The following is a 22,250-nucleotide window of genomic DNA, read 5'->3' as shown; positions in this document are numbered from 1 at the left end:
GTTAGTTAAACTAGCTACTTCACCATTAGTGGAAGCCGGAACCTCAGTTTTGATTTTTGGATTTAATACAAATGGTATTATATGGTATGGATAGTTTTACATCAATTTTTAAATGCAGGATTATATTTTTGATATCCATTTATGCTGTTGCAGATATCTATACTCTGCTCATTTTTAAAAGTCCTTTCATACTTTTTGGTAAAATATACATAAAATTAACTATTTTAACAATTTTTAATGTGCAGGTCAAAGGAATTAATCACACTCACATTGTTCTGCAACCATCATCCACATTCATAGGGATTTTTATTCATTTTGCAAAACTGAAACTCTGTTTCTGTTAAACAAGAATCGCCCTTTACCTTCCTTTTTACCCTGGAAACTACTCTTCTACTTTGTGTTTCTGAGAATGGAACAACCATAAGTACCTCGTATGAGTGGAACCATACAGTATAGTAAAGAAATCATGAGGAAGAATAATATACACTGTAAACATGTTTATTAATTTAAATAACCTGATCAGTAGTACATGAGGATTATAGAGAAATATAGATACAAAAGAAAAAGCATTTAGAAGGGTGTGTTAAATTTATGACTATGATGTCTCAAGTTCCAGAAAAGTGAGGCCCCTGCCCCAGACACAGAGCTGGTCACGGTGCAGCTCAGAGCCCAGTGCAGCTGTCTGACTCCCAAAGCCCATGCTCAGCCCAAATGTCAATAAGCCCTGAGGCACTCTGCTTCTGCCAGCCCAGGCACTCAGTGGCCCTGAGATTCACCATGGCCTGTTCTTGGTCTTGAGAATGTTGCTGGCCTACTGGGATGGGGGCTCAGCTGACAGGACAAGTAGGAGCTTCAGGAAATAGTGGCAGCTGTGAGGCTACCAGGAGCCACACCTCAGGCTTCCCACTGCCTACCCAGGGCTCCCCATGCAACAGGTCCTAAAGTTGACCAGGGAGCCATGGCCACAGGCTCTCTGAAGCTGGCTACACAATAGAGTCCTCTCCTACCCTTGGCTAATCTGCTAGCCCCTCACTTTTTATTCTGACTGTGTCACACCATGGACTAGAACCAAACCCCAAATTCCTCCTCAGTTGGAAGAAGATAATGATCTCTTCTCACTGAAGCACCTGCATTTCTTGGGGGACTTAGATCTGGAGACCAAAGGAAGGGCAGGATTCTGACAGGTCCTGGGTGGAAGATAATAAAGGGAGCTTGCTGGGGAGGGAGGGAGAAGGGGCCAGTCTCTGGGACTTTTCTTTTAAGGGGCCCCACCCTCCCCTCCAATTCCAGGTAGAACCAACCTGTTCTCAGAGTTAGATATAAACAGTCCCTTCTCTAGGAATTTATCACTGATTCTAGTCCTCTAATCAAACTCTCCATTGGCATGGGTATCCTCCTTCTCTGTGTATCAAACCTTCCCAGTAAATCTAAGATGCAGAAGATGGAGCCAGTGAGTGTCCTCCCCAGGGTGGTCTCTGACTTTCACATCCACACCTTCCCTCAAGGCTAGGGCCCCACCTGCTCACCTTCCTCCTTTATTAGTGTTGATTATATTTTCCTAAAAGGTAGACAGCCAAGGTCTATCAGAAAGGCACCCTGGCCCACAACTAGCCTTCATCCCCTATACTTTCTATGCTGCACCACCTCCAGGGCCGCCAGGGTCAGGGCATGTGCACAAACCAGGATTTGGACATGCATCAGGTTTTGGGCTCTACAGAAGGGACTTGAGGCTCAGTGACCGTTTACCCTGATTCTCTGTCATGACAGACAGGGAAACTGAGGCCTTGGAAACAAAGAAGGTACTCAACCACTTAGGAACTGCCTGTCTTAGGAGGGGCCCAGTTTCTGTCTTCTCCAATGGATACCATGAAAGGCAGAGGCTGAGACTCAGTTCTGCAGCTTCACTACTCAAGGAGTAGTCTTTGATGGAGTCTCCGTTACTCATAGAAAAGATAGGCCAGACACCCCCATCACAGGGACATCACAGGTTCTAAGGAAAGGAGGTTTGCTGAGTGCTGCAATCTCAGGGCTCAGTCCAAGACTCTGTCCCCACAAGTTTCAGGATCCTGGCCCCCACCCTTCCTGCCCCAGTCTCACACACATCGATATAATCCTATAGGACAATTTCCAACATCAGCAAATCAGTGAGAATTATGCCCACAGAAGGCACAGCACCCTGTGCCATCAAGGTGGTAGCAGTGATGAGCACCAATTCTCAGCTTCCCACACAAAGCCCGTCCTTTGAACTGTCACCAACCCATGTCTCCTTGACCCCCCTACCCAATCTCCTACTTGGAGCCTCCAAGGACCCTCAGCTTCCTTACCCAAAATCTTTCCCTTCTCTTTCCACAGCTGGCCTACAAAGACACCAAGCACCTTCTAGTTATCTCTATGGTGAGATTTCAATAAGTCACAAAGTCAGTCTTCCCCAGCCTCACTCTTCCCCAAATCTACTCTGAGCCCAGCTCTCCCAGGCTCTTTCTCTGGTCTCTCTAATGAAGGCATTCCAAGCACTGTGTCCACAGGAGGGTAGGGCCAGAGGAGGAAGACACTGTGCTCTCTTGATGTGGAGAACTCCAGCTGGGAGGGAGAAGCCCTGTCCTTGACTCCCTGGTGCCCATTCTGTCCACAGGTCCACTCACCTGCTGCTGAAGCCCCATCTGGACTCTCTAAAAATGTCCCTAATTAGCAGAGTCAGAAACAGGGGCAGTGAGACTGTGCTTCCCTCACCAAGTTACAACCCAGCCCCACCAACCTCAGATCATTGATAACTGCCTTAGTCAGCTGGTGCAATGCTTCTACCACCTCCAGTAGGCCTGGATTCTAGATTTACTTCCAGATCCAACATTCACTGCGTGTGTAACCTCGGGCATGCACCTGGGCCTCCCTGAGACTGTTTCCTCACCTGAGAAGTGTTGTTATACCCAACGAGTTAGAGAAAGCGCCACACTCTGAGATGAATTAAGAGTCCTTTATTAAGCCGGCGGCCAAAGAGATGGCTAACGCTCAAAATTTTCTCCGCCCCAAGGAAGGAGCTTGATTAACTTTTATACCTAGGTTTAGGAAGGTGAGGGGAACTCAAATGCAATAATTCTATAGAAGTAAAAACATGCAAGTATCAAAAAAACAAACGGTTACAAAGAGATAAACAATTTAAAAGACAAATGGTTACAAAAAGAGCAACAGTACCAGGTGCAGGGCTCTAAATCCTTCATTATAATTAGATATAGGTGCTATGCCGGACAAGAACTCAAGGTTTTATGTTGTTGTCCCTTTGAGAAAAATCCTGGGAACTTCATACACTGTTGGTGCCAGTACCTTATCAGTTAATTGGGCTCCTTTGAAATGCTGAGGATCTGCTTAACACAGGTCAACTCCTTGCGGAAGGGGGTTGGGTAAGGAGCCCTTAGTGTCTTGTAAATTAAGGGGTCAATTGGAGTTCGACCAGCTTTCCCAGCTAGAGAGAGTCTTATTTACATGAGAAGCAAGGCTAGGTGATTAAAGAGCCAAACAGGATAAAATTCAAAGTAGCCAGTTAGAGTAAAAACAAGGTTAGGCATTTCAATGTGGTGGGAACACCTTCCTCGTAGGGCCTCCTGAGGACCCAGTTGCATGTGGCTATCACCACTGTTCTCACCATCATCCCTCTCAGGAAGAGGTAGGCACAAGAACTCTCAAATTTCCTTCCTCCGTTGCACCTTATCATGACCCTGAAAGGCCTGCACAACAGACTTCCTGCATTCTCCAGATGAGGAAACGGTGGCCCAAAGATGGCAGTGACTTGCCCAGGGTCCCACAAGAGAGGCTGGCTCCTCCTCCCACCTGGAGGGCCTCCCCTAGCTCCCTTCATGCCACACACCAGCACCACTACTGGTTAGGGTCCCATCCTCTAGACTCTATGGGAGTCCACACCCCCATCCAGGGCCAGCTGTGGTGGAAAAGGGACATGGTGTATTGGGTGGCCTGGTCGAGCAGTGCCAACTTGTCCCAACTTCACTGGGATTGCAATCTCACAAGCTGGGTTTGAGGGTATGCCAAAGACTTCACCTCCCTATTGATCCACCAAGAAAGATTCGCACACAGAAGTCTCTTTCTTTATCCACTCCCTTTAGTTCACGCGTGTTCCCCACCCACCAGCTGCCGGCCTCCACTGTCACTGATACCCAGGGCTGATCTCACCTGCCTTGACAAGGCTGCTGAGATTCAGGTGGACCTAAACAGATGTTTGGCTCAGACAGGTCACTTCAGGCTTGTGTCCTGGGCCATCCCCCTTGCTCTTCAGAAGGCCCCTGCCAGCGTCAGTGTGCCAAGCCCTGACCCTAGTGATCTCTCCGTAAGGACTGCATCTCACCCACCCTCTATCACCAGGGCTCCTGCTCAGCCCTTGTCACTTTCCCAGGACAAATCTAGCTTCACAGACACGTCTAGATCCTGTGCATTTCTCTTTGTGGTGTTCAAAGAAAAAGAATAATTTCCATTTTTTTTCTAACTTGACCTACAACCTATTTATTGTGAAGATGTCCAGGCTGCAGGCCATGTCTACTCACCTACTCAGAAGGCTTCAGCTCTTGCTTTAGTGCCTTCTGGGTCCATTCTGTCGCTAAATGTTTATGACCTCAAGGGGGAAGCATGAGCAAATGCAATTCCATTGGTACCAGTGCAGTGAGGGTGGGGCCAGAAGGGTGAAACTCACTGGGATTATATAGAAATTTTATACAAGATACACATTTCAAGATTGGTTTGGAGAAATGCAGGAAGAACTATCTTTCATAGATGACAGTATGTAGAACTTAAGTTTCTTAGCCAGAAGTTCACGGGTCCCTCTTACTAAATGTGGCAATATGTGATGATATCCCAATGGCCATAACACACACACATAATTTATGGGACTCATTTTGTATTAGAAATTGTGCATTTCAGCCAAAAGTTTTTTACACATGGATAGTTTCCCACATTGCTTGAAGATTGGAAGTGAGAGCACTTTATGAAATGTCCTTTTGGACACACTTTCATTGAAGGTTCCATGTCCCAAGGAGCAAAGAGACAAGTCATGATCAAGTGGCCTTATCATATGGGGTGATGCCTGGTCTCATGATTGAGGAAATCAAGAATGCAGACACACCAAGGGTGATGTTGGAGGAGAGGTTTAATAGGTGAAAGAAAGAGAACAACTCTCCACTGCAGAGAGGGATCCTCAAAAACTCTTGACTTTCAGGAGTGAAATGCAATGGTTTTTATACATGAGCTAGTGGAAGGGAGTGTCTTATCCACATAGGGCATGAAAAAATGGTTAGGACCAGGTGTGTCATCTCCATAGAACACGAATCTCTGGCAGCCCACACTCCAACCTTTTATTATGCAGGCGGGTTCTTAGCCTGAGCTACTCCAAGTTGCTTATCTCTTTCCTACTGTGCATGTGCAAAAAAGTTGGGTGGAGCCCCCCATGTTGAATGTGTCTGGCCTGAGGTGGTCCCTTCTTTTGGTGCAGCTGCAGTCATACCCTCTCATATAAGCTTCTAGCTTCCTTATCTATGATTGCAGCCCCATCTTCCAGGTTGCTCTTTGTTAAAGAGAAGTGATTTCTTGGGCTGCTTTTCTTTAGAAGGGACGTTCTGCCGAGGACTGTGCTGTATCTGACTAGCTAGTTTCTTTCTACCTCCACTCTCAATGATAACTGTCCAGCTTTTAAGGGCATCATGGGGTTGGGAACAAATTTGAGACCACAAAGTACCTTAGAATACGACTTTACCCTTCTATCAACTTTAGTGTGAATTGCACATCTACTGTAATATCTGCTTCATGCACTACTGAATATAACAAGAAGGGAAAATGTGTATCTTCTAAGAATCCAGATGACAAACAGACTTTCCACAGATTCTTTGCATCCTCCTGTTTCTAGAGCTTGGTCATTCCAGTGTAGATTGTTCTCTTCGGAAACAGCAGGTGATGAGGAAGCCTAGGCTGGCAAGCAGGACACTGTGGATTACTTGTTGCGGAGGTGTTTCCGTGGGGTCACTAAAGGGGCAGGCACAGCAGCCCACAGGACAGCTTCAGCAGCGATTCCCTCTGGCTCTGCCCCAGCAAGGTAAGGCAGCCAGCAAAGCTCTGATTCCTTGTCCTAAAGGGCGACCTCGGCCGGGTAAGCCCCAGCCTCCAGAAAAAAAGGGCAGTATCAGGGAGCGCCCCACGTTACGGCCTTGTTGTGGGCTGCACCTGCAGCCTCACTGGTGCATGACTTCTAGGTTCTGTTCTGGTCCTTCAGGAGGCAGAAGATGATGTTTCTCTTCAATTCACCACCCTGTTGGCTGGGCCTGGGAAGGACTCGAGGTCTGCACGGTGGTTTCCGAGTCTCCAGCACCCAGTTTTCCCAATGTGCTGACAAGCAGGATGGCCAGAAGTACCTGGGTGGGGAAGACATAGGGTGAGCAGAAGAAGGTGAGCTTCCAGAAAGAGGCCTAACACAAATGCTTAGTGCCTGGGTGGACGCGGATATTGCTAGGTGCTACTTGGGGGCAAGGCCCTGTGCCCTTCTGGAGATCGCCAAAATAACCACATTCTGCCAGGAGTCACCGGGGATTGTCTGAAATCCTTTGGAAATGATACAGGCCCCTGTTGCTCAGTAACTGGAAGAAGCTGCAGCTGCAGCCAATCACTCAGGCCACTGAGGGGCGCTGGGACCCACACCGAGTACCCCTTGTACGGCAGCCTGGGAACACAGCCTAGGTCTGTGGCACCAGTGAGAGCGCAGCCCGCACCTCCACTGCCCTGGTTCTCTTCTGGCTCACTCCTCCCGTGGCTGTGCCAAGATTCTAGAGGCTTGATCTCTGCCTTGCCTGAGAAGTGTGCAAGGCTGGGGAGGCAGAGCAGGGGGAGGTGACGGCCAATAGCCCTGCTACAGTGCTGGGCACTGCGAGGAGACAGGACAGAGGCGGTCATCTTGTTCTACTCGGAGAGGAGAGGCCAAAACTCATGACACACTATTTTTAGGGGGCCTCCCATTCAAGTCCTATCCAGTCTCCACTGTCCTACACTTCTCCAGACTGAGGAGATAAGGCTCTGGTAGATGGGCATGGCCACAGAGGTCAGCCTGTCCCCCTGGACAGACCCACAGACTGATGGAACTGGGCCCTGCACCAAGGAGGCTCTCTCCAGTTGGCAGGGCAGTGGACTCCCGCATTGGCAGTAGGAAGCTCCCTAGCCCCTTCCACCAGCCACCTTCCTTCAGTGACTGAGATCCTCAGGGCTGAACAGGCCCCCCGTGGCAGGGCTGCTGAGATTCAGATGAGTCGCTTAAGTTTTCAGTGTCCTGTGCTATCTTTCCTGGCCTTCAGAAGGCTCCTGCCAGCCTGATTGGGCCAGGCTCTGACCCTGGCTGCATCTCCCTGGGAGCCCCATATCACCTGCCCTCCATCCCCAGGGCTCCTGCTCAGCACTTCCCATCTTCCTAGGACAAGCCTGGCTCCAACAGACATGTCTAGACCCTGTGTGTTTCTTTTTGTGGTGAGTAACGAAAAAGAATGATTTCCATTTTCTTTTTATTTTTTTCTAACTTTTAATTTATTTATTGTAAAAATGCTTGGGCTTCAGGAGACCTGACCTACCCCGCCAGGGGTCTTAGCATTACTACAGTACCTTCCCAACCCACCCTGTCACTAAATATTTCCACTCTTAACAAAATAGGGGGAAGCATAAGCAAGTGCAATTCCACTGGCACCAGTGCTTTGAGGATGGGGTCAGAAGGGTCATACCCATTAGGATTCTATAGGAATTCTGTAGAAATAAACATCTCACAGTTTGTTTGGACAGATTGACATGGAGAAATAACTTTGATAGGTTCTAGTACACAGAAGTTAAGTTTCCTAACAGCCATGAGCTTACAGGTTCCTCTTGCTGAATTTGGCCATATTTTCTGATGTCCAAATTGCCATCATGGGCATACATATGTGGAATAGTTTATACCATTCATTTTTACATTACCAAATGTGCATTTTTGGCCAACAGTGTTTTATACATCATGGATAGTTTCCCACATTTCTTGAAAATTGGAAGTGACAGTCATTTATGGAATGTTGTTTTTGACACACTTCCATCTAAGGCTCCATGTCCCCTCAGTGCTAAGAAGACAAGTAGTCATCATGCTTCCACTTAGAGGGGGCCCAGGGAAAGCAGACATAATATGAGAATGAAAAGTACCTTGGAATCAGAATTCACCTTTCAATCAGTATGAATCAGAGGTCTATTAGAATAGCCTGTTCATGCACTCTTAAGATTTCAAAGAGGGACAAATGTCACCTTTGAAAAGTCAAAGTGACGAATGGACTTCTCTCAGATTTTTTTGTTTTGTTTTGTTTCTGGCACTTGGTCATGCCATGGTAGAGCATTTCTTTTGGAATTACTGGGTGCTGAGAAACCCCAGGCTTGAAAGCTGGACACCAGGGAGTCCCTGTGGGTGAAGTGTTATTGAGGTCGCTAAAGTGGCAGACACTGCAGCCAGCAGGAAAGCAGCATCCAACATTCTCTATGGCACGGCCCAGGTGCTGGGTGAAGCAGCCAGCCCAACAGCTTATTTTATGTGTGGAAGGGTGACCCCGTGCCTCTGCACGGCTCCAGCTTTCAAGAAACAGGCGCAGGCCAAGGAGTGCCTTGCACGTTTACTGCTGCCACGTGTGGGGCCTGCATCCGCCACTGGGAGCCCCGCTTCTTCCTTCAGTGCCAGGTCTGTTCCATTCCTTCTGGAAGCTTCAGAGGACTTTCCTCTCTGACTCCCGGCATGTTCACCTGGATGCTGCAGGACCCCATATCTGTGCATTTCCCGAGTCTCTACAGTGCCTGGTGACCCACTGTGACAAGGAGGATGATCCAAAGTAGGGGATTAGGGCCATGAGGTAAAAAAAAAAAAAAAAAAAAAAAGGAGAGATGCTGTATGGATGAGGCTTGATGGGACCGCCTCTCATCTGGGGCTGCTGGTGCCACGCGGGCAGGGCTGGTTGCTGCCACGCGAGGTGATCCTCTGTGCTGAAGATTTTCAACCTTTCCACCCTTTCCCCATCGGGGACGCCTGGGTAACCAGCTAAAGCGCTAGTTCCAGTCCAGAACAGACTGCGGACCCTGGTGTGGGCTCCAGCCTGCAGGACACGAGCATGAACCTCGGAGCACCCCATATGCCTAGTTTGTTGTGGGCTAGACTGGCACTTCCCACTGGCCTGCTGACTTCTTCTTGGAGTGTAGGGGTTTTGTTCTGTTCTTTCTGGAGGTGGCAGATGACTTTCCTTCTGGACTTCTTGCCTGTTCACCTGACCTTTGCAGGACCTGAGATAGGTGGGGTTCCCGGGTCTCCATAGTGTCAGGCACTCTACTGTGATGACAAATAGGATGACAAAAAGTATGCCGGTGGTTGAGGAAGAAGAAAAAGAGGAGGAGTGGAACTGCAGGGAGGAGGCACAACAGGATGGCCTCCAGCCTGGGGCAGCTGGGTTGGCAAGATTAGGGCTGGTTGCTGCCCAGGCAGGCAAGGAGATAAACCATACTGAAGAATGCCATTAGCTCCATCTTCAGCTTGGCATGCCTGGGCATATCTGAAAACCTTGGGAAAGTGTTCACGTTTTCAGCACTTACGAAAAGGAAGAAACAGCAGTTGCAGATGCTCTTCCAGGCCTTCCAGCAGCATCGTAGAACCTGCTCTATGTGACATGTGGGCTGAAGCCTGGGCCTGCAACCTCGGGCCAGGGGACCCGTGAACGCAATCGTCTCCATGGCCCCCCTCTTCAAACTTGATTCTCCCCTGGCTGGGCCAGAGTTCAGTTCTCCTCCTCCTTGGTCTGCCCCATCAGAGTGCAGAGGAGGAAAAATGAGGGGGTGGAGTCAGGAGCCTTTTTCCATTGCTGGTGTACTGAGAAGTATCTGGTTGTGCTTGAAGGGGAGAGGCCAAAGCCCAGGACATTCTGCTTTTTTAGGTAACTTACGTTTCAAGCCCTATTTGGTCTCCACCAGCTTTTGCTTCTGAGGACAGAGGAGCTGGGGCTCTGTTACATGGATATCTAAAGAGATATCTTGCCCTGAATGACCGAGAGACTGATAGGTCTATCCCAACACCAAGGTAATGTGACTCTCTTTTGCTACCTGTGCCCTCCCTATGGATTGGACATATCACTGGGCCAAGCAGCAAGGTAATATGACTCTCCTGCTTGTACCCTGCATACACTGGGCATGGTGACATATCACTGAGCCTAGCACCCAGGTGATGTACCTCCTTTTTTGGTACCTGTCAACAAAAGGGATTGTGACATATATCTGTCCCATCACCCAGGTGATGTGACTGTTGCCTTCTGTTCACTCACAGATAGGATTATGACCTCCACCTAGGCTCAGCACACAGGCATCATGATGTCTTTCAGATGCAGAACCACCCAATAAAAGAGATTTTGACTCTCATAGATAGATTTAGGGTGAAGGATAAGGTCCTGAGTCTCCTACTTGTGAAAAGTTACAGAAGAGTCTGACACACACATATATTAGGAAGCTTTTGGGTGGTACAGAGAGTTTTATAATACAAACCAGAACACAGTTGACATTGTGATTCTCATAGCCACATTCTTCTGAAAATTTGATTTGTCACCCTTATAAATGGGCAGAGCCCACTTGTGAGATCTGTAATCTCACATGCAGAAGAAGTCCACAGTTGGAATTGTGACTGTTATATGTAAATCTGGCCACAGGTGGGATGGTGACTCATTTCTGGACCCAGCTCACAGGCCCAATAATGACTCTAATACCTGGACCCCATCAATAAAATAAATGTTTGCTTTAGTAACTAGACTTAGGGCAACAGGGAATGTCCTGGGTTTCTTACTTGTATGAAAGTCACAGAGCCCTACAACAATCAAGCATACAATACAATGTCCTCAGGTGGTAAAGAGAGTTTCATAACAGGGTCCAGCACACAGATGAAATTGTGACTCTTGTCTGCACACTCAGCTAACTGTAAGGACTATCATCCACCTACATGGGCACAGCCCATTGTTGAGGTTCTGAATCTCACACCTGAAGGCAGTTGAAAGTTGAAACTGTGACTCTCATACCTGTATCTGGACAACAGGTAAGATGGGGGATTTTGGATCAACATTAAACACCCTGTTAGGCTGTTTCTTCTTTATTAGGACACCGTTTTTAGATGAGTTTGGGGATCTCATGCACAGATGCATTCCACTGTTGACATTGTGACTCATGTACTTGGACAGAACTCACAAAAGGTGTTGACTTTCATATTTGGAGCCAGGCCATATGCAGTATTGTGAATCTCATCCCTGGACCTTTCTGCAGGCATGATTTTGACACATATCTTTGCCCAGCAAATGGTTGATTTAACTATTCTGCCAAGGTCCCATCTAAACATGGGATTATGACCTATACCTAGGCCAAGCACATAGGTGATGTGACTCTCCTGCCTGGGCTATACTCTCAGAGTAGATTTGGAAATGTTTATGCACAAATCACCTAAGTGATGTGACTCTCCTCTCTGGCCTGGGCTCAGCCCACAAGGGGCTTTGTGACATATCACTGGGTCCATCACCTAGGTGATGTGACTGTCCTCTTCTGTCTGGGCCCCATCCCTATTTGAAATTTTGACATAACCCTGGGTCCATCACCTAGGTGATGTGACTCTCCTCTCTCCTGTCTGGGCCCCATCCCCATTTGAAATTTTGACATAACCCTGGGTCTATCACCTAGGTGATATGACTCTTCTCTTTTGCCTTGGACCTGCTTACCTGGGTTATTGTGACGTATTACTGGGCCCAGCACCTGGTAGATTTGACTATTCTTTTTTGCCTGGACTTTCCCTGCCAAAAAGATTGTGACAAATCAATGGGCCAAGCACTCAGGTGATGTGGCTCTCCTGTCTAAGCAATGTCTATAGTTGGGATTGAGAAATCTACCTGGGCCATATTTTCTGGTGACATAACTCTTCTACCTGAGCCCCTTTCTCAGAGGCATTGTGACATATCTCTGTGCCTATCACCTAGGTCATATGACTCTTCGCTTTTTTCCTGAGCTCTGTCCACAGGGTAATTTGTGACATATTGCTGAAACCAGGACCCAGGTAATTTGACTCTCCTGTCTTGTCCCCGCCCACAAAGAGTATTGTGACATATCATTAAGCTCAGCAGCCAGGTGATGTGACTTTCCTGCCAGGGCTCTTCTCTCAAAATGGATACTGACATATCTCTGGCCCAGCATTCACGTAATGTGGCTCTCCTTTCTGGTCCCTGCCTACAGGTGGTATTGTCACATATACCTGGGTCCAGTTCACAGGCATAATAATGACTATCATACATGGACACAACCAATAGAAGAAATTCTGACTCTTCTAGCTGGGTTTATGGCAATGTATCATGACTTCAGACTCCTATATTTGGAAAGATCACAAAGTATTAGGAAGCTTGTGCATATTCTATAATGCCCTTTAATGGTACACAGAGTGTCATTACAGGGCCCAGCACACAGCCAACAGTTAAAATTGTCAATCTCACACCCGGACATAACAAACTGTTAAGGCCCTGAATCTCACTCATAGACACAGTCCACAGTTGGAATTTTGACTGTCATATGTGAATCTGGCCATAGGTAAAATGGGTGACTCATTGCTGGACCTAGCTCACAGGCATGGTAATGACTCATATCTGAACCAGTCAATAGAAGGCATGTTGAATCTCATTTCTGGGCTTGGAGTAACAAGTAAGATCATGGGTTTATATAAGCACAAGGTTTCAGAGTGGATTGCAAGTCTCAAACATATCATAAAAAGCCACAGGTGGTGCAAAGAATAATAAAACAAGGCCCAGTACAGTGTTGAGGGTTTGACTCTCATTGCATACACTGCCAACAGTAAAGATTTTCACACTCCCACATGGACACAGTCCACTGTTGAATTTCATGCCCAAATGCAGTCAAAAGTTGGCATTATTATGCTTATATGTGGATCCAGTCTTCAAGTGAGTTGATGAGTCTCTGACCAAGATTCCACAAATATGTTAGGTTTCTAACTCTCCTATTGTGTGTTGTCTGAGGTTGAGGCTTTCATGCATGGATCCAATTTACTGTTGAAATTATGACTTGCATACTTGGACACATGAGGCATGTAAAAGTTTATGAGGTGCATACTTTTTATACCCAGAGCCAGAATATGTGCAGGAATGTAAGTTCCATTCCTAGACCTTCCCACAGGTGTCACTGTGACATATAGTTTTGCCCAACCAGAACTTGACTGATTTGAATATACCACCTGAAGAAAGCCCACAGTTTAGATTGTGACATATACCTAAGCCAATAACCTTGGTAATGTGGCCCTCCTGCATAGTCCCTTCTCACAGGTGGCACTGTGATATACCTCTGGTCTCATTTCCAGGTGATGTGATTATCCTCCCCTGCCCAGGCCCCATTCCCAAAGGTGATTGTGACACATTGCTGAGCCCAGCACTCATGCAATGTAATCCTTCAGCCTGTTCTGCACACAGGGGACATTGTAACAAATCACTGGTCCCAGCACCATAGTGATGTGAATTTTTACCAGCACCAAACTCACAGGGGGATACTAATATATCTCTGGCTCGGTATTCAGGTGATGCGACTCTTCTGCCTGGTTCTGTTGACAGGTAGGATTGTGACACATATCTAGGTTCAGGTCACAGGAATAATGATGACTGTCATATGAGAGCCCAGCCAAAAGAAGAGATTTTGGCTCTCATGCCTAAGCTTAGAACAATCAGTAAGGCTCTGAGTCTCCTAATTGTATAAAGATTACAGATGAGTATGACACTCATGAATATTGTATAAAATACTTGGGTCTTATCAGAGTCCATTACAGAGGTAAAATTTTGCCTCTCATGGGCACACTATCCAACAGTTGGGATTGTCACTCTCACACATGGACAAAGTCCATTGGTGAGGATCTGCACCTCACATGTGCAAGCAGTCCACAGTTAGAATTGGGACTGTTATATGTTGATCTAGAGACAGAGTGGAAGGTGACCCATTTCTGGACCCAGTTCATAGGCATGTCAATGTCTCTCATGCCTAATCCCAGAAAATATGAGAGATGTTGACTCTTGCATCAAGGCTTAACAGCAACAGATAAGATCCTGGGCTTCATACTTTTACAGAGGACTTAAAGAATTACAACATTCATGCATGTTGTATAATGCCCTAAGGTGGAACAGAGAGTGTTAAAACAGAGCCCAGCTCAAAATTCTGATTGTGACTCTTGTATGCACACAGACCACAATTAAGATTAAATGTGAACAGAGCCCACTCATGAGGTCCTGGATCTCACTCACAGAAACAACTCACAGTTGGAATTGTGACTCTCATATCTGGATCCATCCAAAAATGAGATGATGGCTCATTTCTGGACCCAGTTCACAGGCACACTGATGACTCTCATACCTGGACCCAGCAAATAGGACACACATTGACTCTCATGCCTGAACTTAGGGCAACATGTAGGATCATGGGTTTATACCATCAGTAAGTTCTCAGAGCAGGTTTCACTCTCATGCAGATCATATGAAGCTCTTACATGGCACAAGGGGTGTCTTATAGAGACCCACCACAGAGGTAACATTGTGACTCTTCTATGCACACACAACATACAGTCAGGAATGTCATCTTCCCATATAGACATAGCCCATTATTCAGGTTCTGAATATCACATCCAGATCAGTTGAAAGTTGACATTGTGACTCTCATACATGGATCAATTTCACAGGTAGAATGGTGACTTTTATACCAATGGTGAGTTTGGGTATAAACTCAACACAACTGTGAGGCAGTGACTGCCCTAATTGGACAGTTTTGGCAGGTGATGTTGGAGCTTTCATGCATGAATTCTGTCCATCACTGATATTGTGATCTGTGTACCTTAACACAAATCACAGATGTTGTCTCTTATGCCTTGATCCAGAAACTGTGTGGGACTGTGAATCTCATCCCAGAGCCTTCCAGCATATGTGACTTTGACATAATTTTTTCTCAGCACTTAATTGACTTTTCTTCCCTGCATGAACCCTGCCAACAGTTGGGTTGTTCTGACTTATACCTAACCCAAACACCTAGATGATGTGACTGTCCTGTCTGGGCCTTGCCCAGAAGGGGTATTGTAAGGTATCTCTGAGCCCATCACCTAGGTGATGAGATTCTACTGCCTGTGCCCTGCCTCCAGTAACAGAAATACCAGCATATTTCCCAGGTGGTATGACTCTTCTCTCATGACTAGGCCTCATGAAGAGGGAGGACTGTGACATATTGCTGGTCCAGCACCTAGGTGATGTGACTCTTTTGACTGGGTTCTGCCTACAGGGGGCATTGTGACATATCATTGAGCCTAGCACAAAGGCGATGTGACTTTCCTGTGTGGGTCCTGCCCATGGAGGGATATTGACATTTCCCTGGCCCAGCATTCAGGTGATGTGGCTTTCCTCCCTGGTTCTGCTCACAGGTGGGGTTTTGACTTATACTGAGGCCCAGGCAACTGTCATGATCATGGCTTTCTTACATGGACCAAGCCAATAGGAGAAGTTTTGACTCTAATAGCTAGGCTTAGGGCAACAACGAAGGTCCTTGGTCTACTAATTATAAAAGGTCACAGAAGATTATGACACTCACATGTATTTTATAAAGCCCTCGGGGTGTATAGAGAGTTACATAACAGGCCCCAGCAAACAGGTGAGCTTGTGACTCTTGAAGACACATGTAGCCAACAATTAGGATTGTCACCTTCATACATGGACAGAGTCCACTAGTGAGATTCTAAATCTCACACATGGATGCAGTTCAGAGTTGAAACTGTGACTGTCATATGTGGATCTGCCTTCAGGCTGGATGATGACTAATTTCTGGATCCAGCTTACAAGCATGGTGTTGACTCTCATACTTAGACCAAGCCAATAACATACGTTGACTCGTACCTAGCCTTAGAGCAATGGGTAAGGTCCTGAGTTTCCTACCTGTACAGAGGTCACAGAGAAATATGAAACCCTGACATATGATACAATTCTCTCAGGTGGTACAGAGTATGCTCAGACAGGGCCCAGCACACAGTTGAGGTTGTTACTTTCACATACACATCCAGTCAAAAGTTAAGATTGTCACCCTCACATACAGACAGTGCCCACTGCTGAGATGCTAAATCTTTCGTGGATGCAGCCTACAGTTGACATTGTGACTGCCACAGGTGTGATGCTGACTTATTTCTGGACCCCACTCACAGGGACAGTGATAAATATTAGTCCTGGACACAGCCAATAGGAGAGATGCTGACTCTCCTCTCTGGGCTTAAAGCAATGTGTAAGATCATGTGTCCACACAAGCATACAGGTCTCAGTATTGTGACATATTTTTTTGAAATGGAGTCTCACTCTGTCACCCAGGCTGGAGTCCAGTGCCACGAACTTGACTCACTGCAACCCCCACCTCTTGGGTTTAAATGATTCTCCTGCCTCAGCCTCCTGAGTAGCTGGGATTACAGGCATGTGCTACCACGCCCGGCTAATTTTTGTATTTTTATTTAGTAGAGATGAGGTTTCATCATGTTGGTCAGGCTGGTCTTGAACTCCTGACCTCATGATATGCCAACCTCAGCCTCCCAAAGTGCTGAGATTACAGGCGTGAGCCACCACACCAGGCCAAGTATTGTGACTCATTCCTATTTTTTAAAGCCCTCAGGTGGCACACAGAACATCATAAAATGGCCCAAAATACCAGTGAGATTGTTACTCTCATATGCACTCCCAGCCAAAGCATTGTCAATTTCCAAATGAACACAGCCCACTGTTAAGCTTCTGAATCTCACATCTAGAGTCAGTCAAAAGCTGAAATTGTTACTGTCATATAGGGATTCTATGTACAAGTAGGATGGTGACTCTGGACCAAGGTTCAGCACTTTGTGATGTTTTTATTTTTTACTGGGACACTGTCTGCAGGTGAGATTGGGACTCTCATGCACGGACTCAGTCTACTGTTAAGGTTGTTACCTGCCTTTTGGGTGCAACTCACAGGAACTATTGCCTCTGAATCCAAAGCTGGGGCATATTAGAGATTGCAAATTTTATCTCTGGGCCTTTACAGGGGTGTGACTGTGACATACACTTTTGCTCAGTATCTGACTGATTTAATCTTTTGCCTAGGCCCAGTCTACAATTTAGATTGTAAAATATACTTAGGTTTAGCACCTAGAATATGTGACTTTCCTGCCTGGACTCTGCCCTCTGGGGAAAAAGTGACATATCTCTGGCCCAATCACCTAGGTAATGTGGCTCTCCCATTCTGCCTGGGCCAGTCCACAAGGGTCATTGTGAGATATCTCTGGGCCCATCACCTATGTTATCTGACCATTTTCTTTGTCTTGAATTTGTTTACAGTAGGAATGATGACATGTTACTGGGACCATCACCTAGGTGACATGACTGTCTTCTGCCTGAAACATGTTTACAGGGTGGATTGTGACATATTGCTTTGCCTAGCACTCAGAAGATACAATTTTTATTGCCAGGACCCTGCACACAGGAAAAATATTGACATATCACTGGCCCAGCACCTAGTTGATGTGACTGTCCCTCCTGGTCTTTGCCCACAGGTGGGATTGTCACATATAATTAGGTCCAGCCCACAGGTATGATGAAGACTCTCTTATATGTGGACTAGCAAATAGAAGAGATTTTGACTCTTATAGTCAGGCTTAGGGAAACAGGCAAGGATCCAGGTCTTCTACATGTAGAAAGATGGATGCATTACAATACTCATGCATATTCTATAAAGCCCTTGGGTGATATAGAGCATGTCATAGCAGGGCCCAGCACAGGGGTAAAACTGTGACTCTGTGGGCACACCCAAATGACAATTAGCATTGTTTCCCTCACAAATTGACCAAACTTACTGGTGAGGTCGTAACTTTCATATGGGGACACAATACACAGTTAAAATATTGACGGTCAAATGTGAATCTGGCCAAAGATCGGACGGTGAGTCATATCTATACCCAGCTTACAGGCCCAGTGATGACTCTTATACCTGCACCCAGCCAATAAGAGAGCTGTTGACTCTCATAGCTAGGCTTAAGCCAAAAAATAAAGTCCTGAGTTTTCTACTTTAAAAAAATAATAATAACAGGTGATTACCACACACACACATATTGTGTAAAGCCCTCAGATGGTACAGTGAATGTCTTAATAGTACCCAGCACAACATTGAGATTGTCACTATTGTATGAACACCCAGCTGACTGTTACATTTGTCACCCATACACATGGACAGAGCAGAATAATGAGTACCTGAGCCTCACCGAAATATACAGTCCACTGTTGGAATTGTGCCTGTCACATGTGGATTGAGCCACAGGAGGGCTGTTGACCCATTTCTGTACCTAAATCACAGGAACATAAATTGCTGTCATACCTGAACCCAATAAACAGGAGAGATGTTGACGGTCATGCCTGGTCTCAGGGCAATGGGGATAATCATAAATTTCAGATTGTAACATACACCTGGGAAAGCACAAAAACCTCAAAGCAGATTGTGACTCTCACATATACCATGTAAAACCATCAGGTGGTACAGACAGTTTCATAACAGGAACCAGCAAACTGGTGAGACTGTGACTCTCATATGCACACCTGGCTCACAGTAAAGATTCTCACCCTCCCACAAAAACCCAGCCTACTTATGACATTCTGAATCTCACACTCAGAGGCAGTCAAAAGTTGGAACTTTGACTCTCATACATGGATGCAGTCCACAGGTAGGATAGTGACTCTCACACCAAGATTCAGAACACCTGTGAGGCCGTGACTCCCTTACTGGGACACTGTCTGCAAGAGGGGTTCAGATTCTCATGCACAGATCAAGTCCACTGTTGAGGTTGTGACTTGAGTACTTCAACGCACCTCACAAGATATGTTGACTGTCATAAGTGAAGCTAGGACATTTGTAAGATTTTGAATCTTATCCCTAAACTTTTCGAAGGTGTGATTGTGACATATACCTTTTCCCAGCACCTGGTTAATTTTACTTTTTTGCCTGGGCCCAGTGTACAGTTGAGATTGTCACATACACCTGGACCATGCACTTTATTTATGTGCCTCTTCAGCATGAGCCCTGCCCTCAAGGGAAATTATGATGTATCTCTGGGTCAGTCATCAAAGTGAAGTGACTCTCCTTTCCTGCCTGGGCCCTGCCCTTAGTTGAGATTGTGACATATCACTGGACCCTTAATGCAAATGATGTAACTTTTCTGCCTGGGTTCTAATTAGAGAAGGGATTGTGAAATATCCCTGGGCCTGTCACCTAGGTGATGTAACTCTGCCTTCCTGCCAGAACCTGCCCCTAAGAGGCATTGTAGCATATCACCAGGTCCAGCTCCTGGGTGATATAACTGTACCATATCAGCAAGTCCAGCTCCCAGGTGATATAACAATGCCACAGAGGGTATTGTGACATATTGCTGGGACAAGGACATAGGTGATGAAACCTTCCTGAATTGCCCCTGCTCCCAGGGGGGATTTTGACCTCTCACTGGGCCAATCACCTGGGTGATGGGGCTCTCCTCTGCTGCCTAGATCCTGCCCAAAGTGGCAATTGTGACATATCTCTGACCAGCACCCGGGTGATGTGACTCTGGTGCCTTGTCTCTCCCCACAACTGGAATTGTGAAATATACATGGGTGCAGCTTACAGGTGGGATGATGACTCATACGTGAAAATATTTGACTCTTGTAGTTAGTCTTAGGGCAAAAATGAAGGTCCTGTGTCTTCAACTTGTAGGGTGGTCATGGAGTATTTTGACCTTCATGCACATTGTATAAAGCCATCAAGTGCTCCAAGAGTGCCATAATGTAGTTCATCACACAGGTGAAATTGTGGCAGTTGTATGCACACCCAGCCAAAAATAAGGATCATTACCCTCTGACGTGAACAGAGCCCAATGTTGAGGTTCTGGTCACACGCCAAGAAGCCATAAGTTGGAATTGTGAATCTCATATGACAATCCAATCCACAGATGGGATGATAACTTCAAGACCATGATTTAGAACACCTGGGGACTGTGTTTCCCCTATTAAAACACAGTCTTCAGGTGAGCTTTGGGCTCTCGTTCACTGATTTAGTCCACTGTTGTGGACTAACTTGCATACTTGGACTCAACCCACAAGAGGGGCTGACTCTTATACCTTTAGCTGGAAAATGCACAGGATTGTGAATTTCTCTTGTTGACTGGGCCCAGGTATAAGTTTTATTGCTATGCCTGTGAGATGGGTTCAAAAATAAGTCACTATCTCACCTGTGGCTGCATCTATGTATGACAGTCACAATTCCAAATATGAATTGGGCTTGCATGTGAGATTTAAGACCTCACCATTGGGCACTGTCCATGTGTGAGGTTGACAATTCTGTCAGCTGGTTGTACATATGAGAGTCACAATCTCACCTTTTTGCTGGGTCCTGTTATGACACTCTCTGTACCACCTGAGGGCTTAATACATTGTGCTTTGGTGCCCATAATACACTATGACCTTCGTTAAAGTAGGAGACGTAGGACAATGCCTGTTGCCCTAAGCCTAGCTATGAGAGTCAAAATCTCTTCTCTTAGCTTGTTCTGTATATGACAGTCATCATACCACCTTTAAGCTATGAATATATATATTTCACAATTTCACCTGTGTGCAGGGACAGACCCAAAAGTCACATCACCTAGGTGCTGGATCAGGTGATATGTCCCAATTCTTATTTTGGGCAAGGTCTAGGCAACAGAGGAGAGACACATCACCTACATGATTGGCCCAGTGATGCATCACAATTCTCTCTGGGAGAATAGCCCATTCGGGAGAGTCATATCACCCAGCTGCTTGGCCAAGAAGTATGTCAAAATGCCCCCTGTGCACAGGGGCCGAGGCAGGACAGTTACATCATCTGGGAGCTGGGCCCAACAATATGTCCCAATTCCTTTTGTGGAAAGTGTCCAGGCAGAAGAGCAGAGTCAAATCACCTAGGTGATGGGCCCAGAGATATGCCACAATTTCATTTGTGGGCTGGGCCCTGGGATAACAATAACATCACCTGGTGCTGGACCCAGCAATATGTTACAATGCCAACTGTAAAAAGGTTCCAGGCAAGAGAGGAGAGTCACATCATCTAGATATGGCATAATGTCCCCTTAGGGCAGTGCCAAGGAAGGAGTGTCTCAACTCCTCTGTGCTGGGCCCAGAGATATGTCACAATACACAGTGGGCAGGATCCCAGCAGGAAAGAAGAGTCATATTACCTAGGGTTTAGACAAGCAACATGTAAAAATTATTCCTGTTGGCAGATCCCAGCCCCCCATCCAAAAGAATCAAGTCACCTGGGTGCTGCTTTCTGTGAAAAGTCACAAGCCCTTTTGAGTGCAAAGCCCATGAAGCAGAGGCGATTCACATTACCTAGGTGATGATCCCAAAGATATTTCACAATGCTCTCTGTGGGGAGGTCCCAGGGAGATAAGTCACCTCACTTGTGTGCTGGGCTCAGAAAACATCACAATCTTTTCTGATGGAAGAGCCCAGGAAAGAAGGAAGAGCCACATCACCTAGGTGCTGAACCCAGTGATTTGTCAAAATCTCTATTGTGAGCAGAGTCCAGGCAAGTGAGGAGAGTCATATCTTTTAGGTGATTGGTACAGAGATATTTCCCAATGCCCCCTGTGCACATGGGCCAGACCAAAGGCACACATAAGCAACATTACCTTGTTGCTTAGCCCAGTGATATGTCATTATGCTTCTTGAGGCCAGGGCACAAACAGGATCAGACAGTCACATCATTAAGTACTAGGCTTAGTGATATATTATAACCTTACCTGTGGGCAGGGTCCAGTTAGGGGAAAAGCTTTACATCACCTATGTTCAAAGTAGAGAGATATATCACAATTCCTTTGAGGGAAGTGTCTAGGCAAAATAGTCACATCACCTAGGTGTTTGTCCCAGGTATAAGTCACAAGATATCTCTGTGCTGAGCTCAAAAGAACTGTCAAATCACTAAGGTTCTAGGTGGAGGTGTATGTCACAATTATACCTGTGGGAAGGCCCAGAAATGAGACCCCCAATCCCACATATTTACCCACTCCAAGTAGAACAGTCAACAGCTCCTGTGAGTTGGGTCCAAGTACATGAGTCACAATCTCAACAGCGGAATGCATCCTCATGTGAGAGCCCCAATCCCTTCTGCAAGTTGTGTCC

The 22,250-nt window shown here is 46.4% G+C and overlaps 1 long non-coding RNA gene across 1 annotated transcript; it reads right to left on the bottom strand.

Annotated features, from left to right (window-relative positions):
• Positions 1-5,128: 5,128 nt before the first annotated feature.
• Positions 5,129-22,007, bottom strand: LOC124903768 (uncharacterized). Its single transcript, XR_007065191.1, has 2 exons — positions 21,872-22,007; positions 5,129-6,401 (listed from the first exon to the last, which is right to left on the bottom strand). It is a non-coding gene; the product is annotated as an uncharacterized LOC124903768 (long non-coding RNA).
• Positions 22,008-22,250: the final 243 nt, after the last annotated feature.

This window comes from Homo sapiens, chromosome 16, assembly GCF_000001405.40.
Source record: "Homo sapiens chromosome 16, GRCh38.p14 Primary Assembly".
Lineage (NCBI taxonomy): Eukaryota > Metazoa > Chordata > Mammalia > Primates > Hominidae > Homo > Homo sapiens.
The sequence above is the reverse complement of the archived record's forward strand: the minus strand, read 5'-3'. Positions and strand labels throughout refer to the sequence as shown.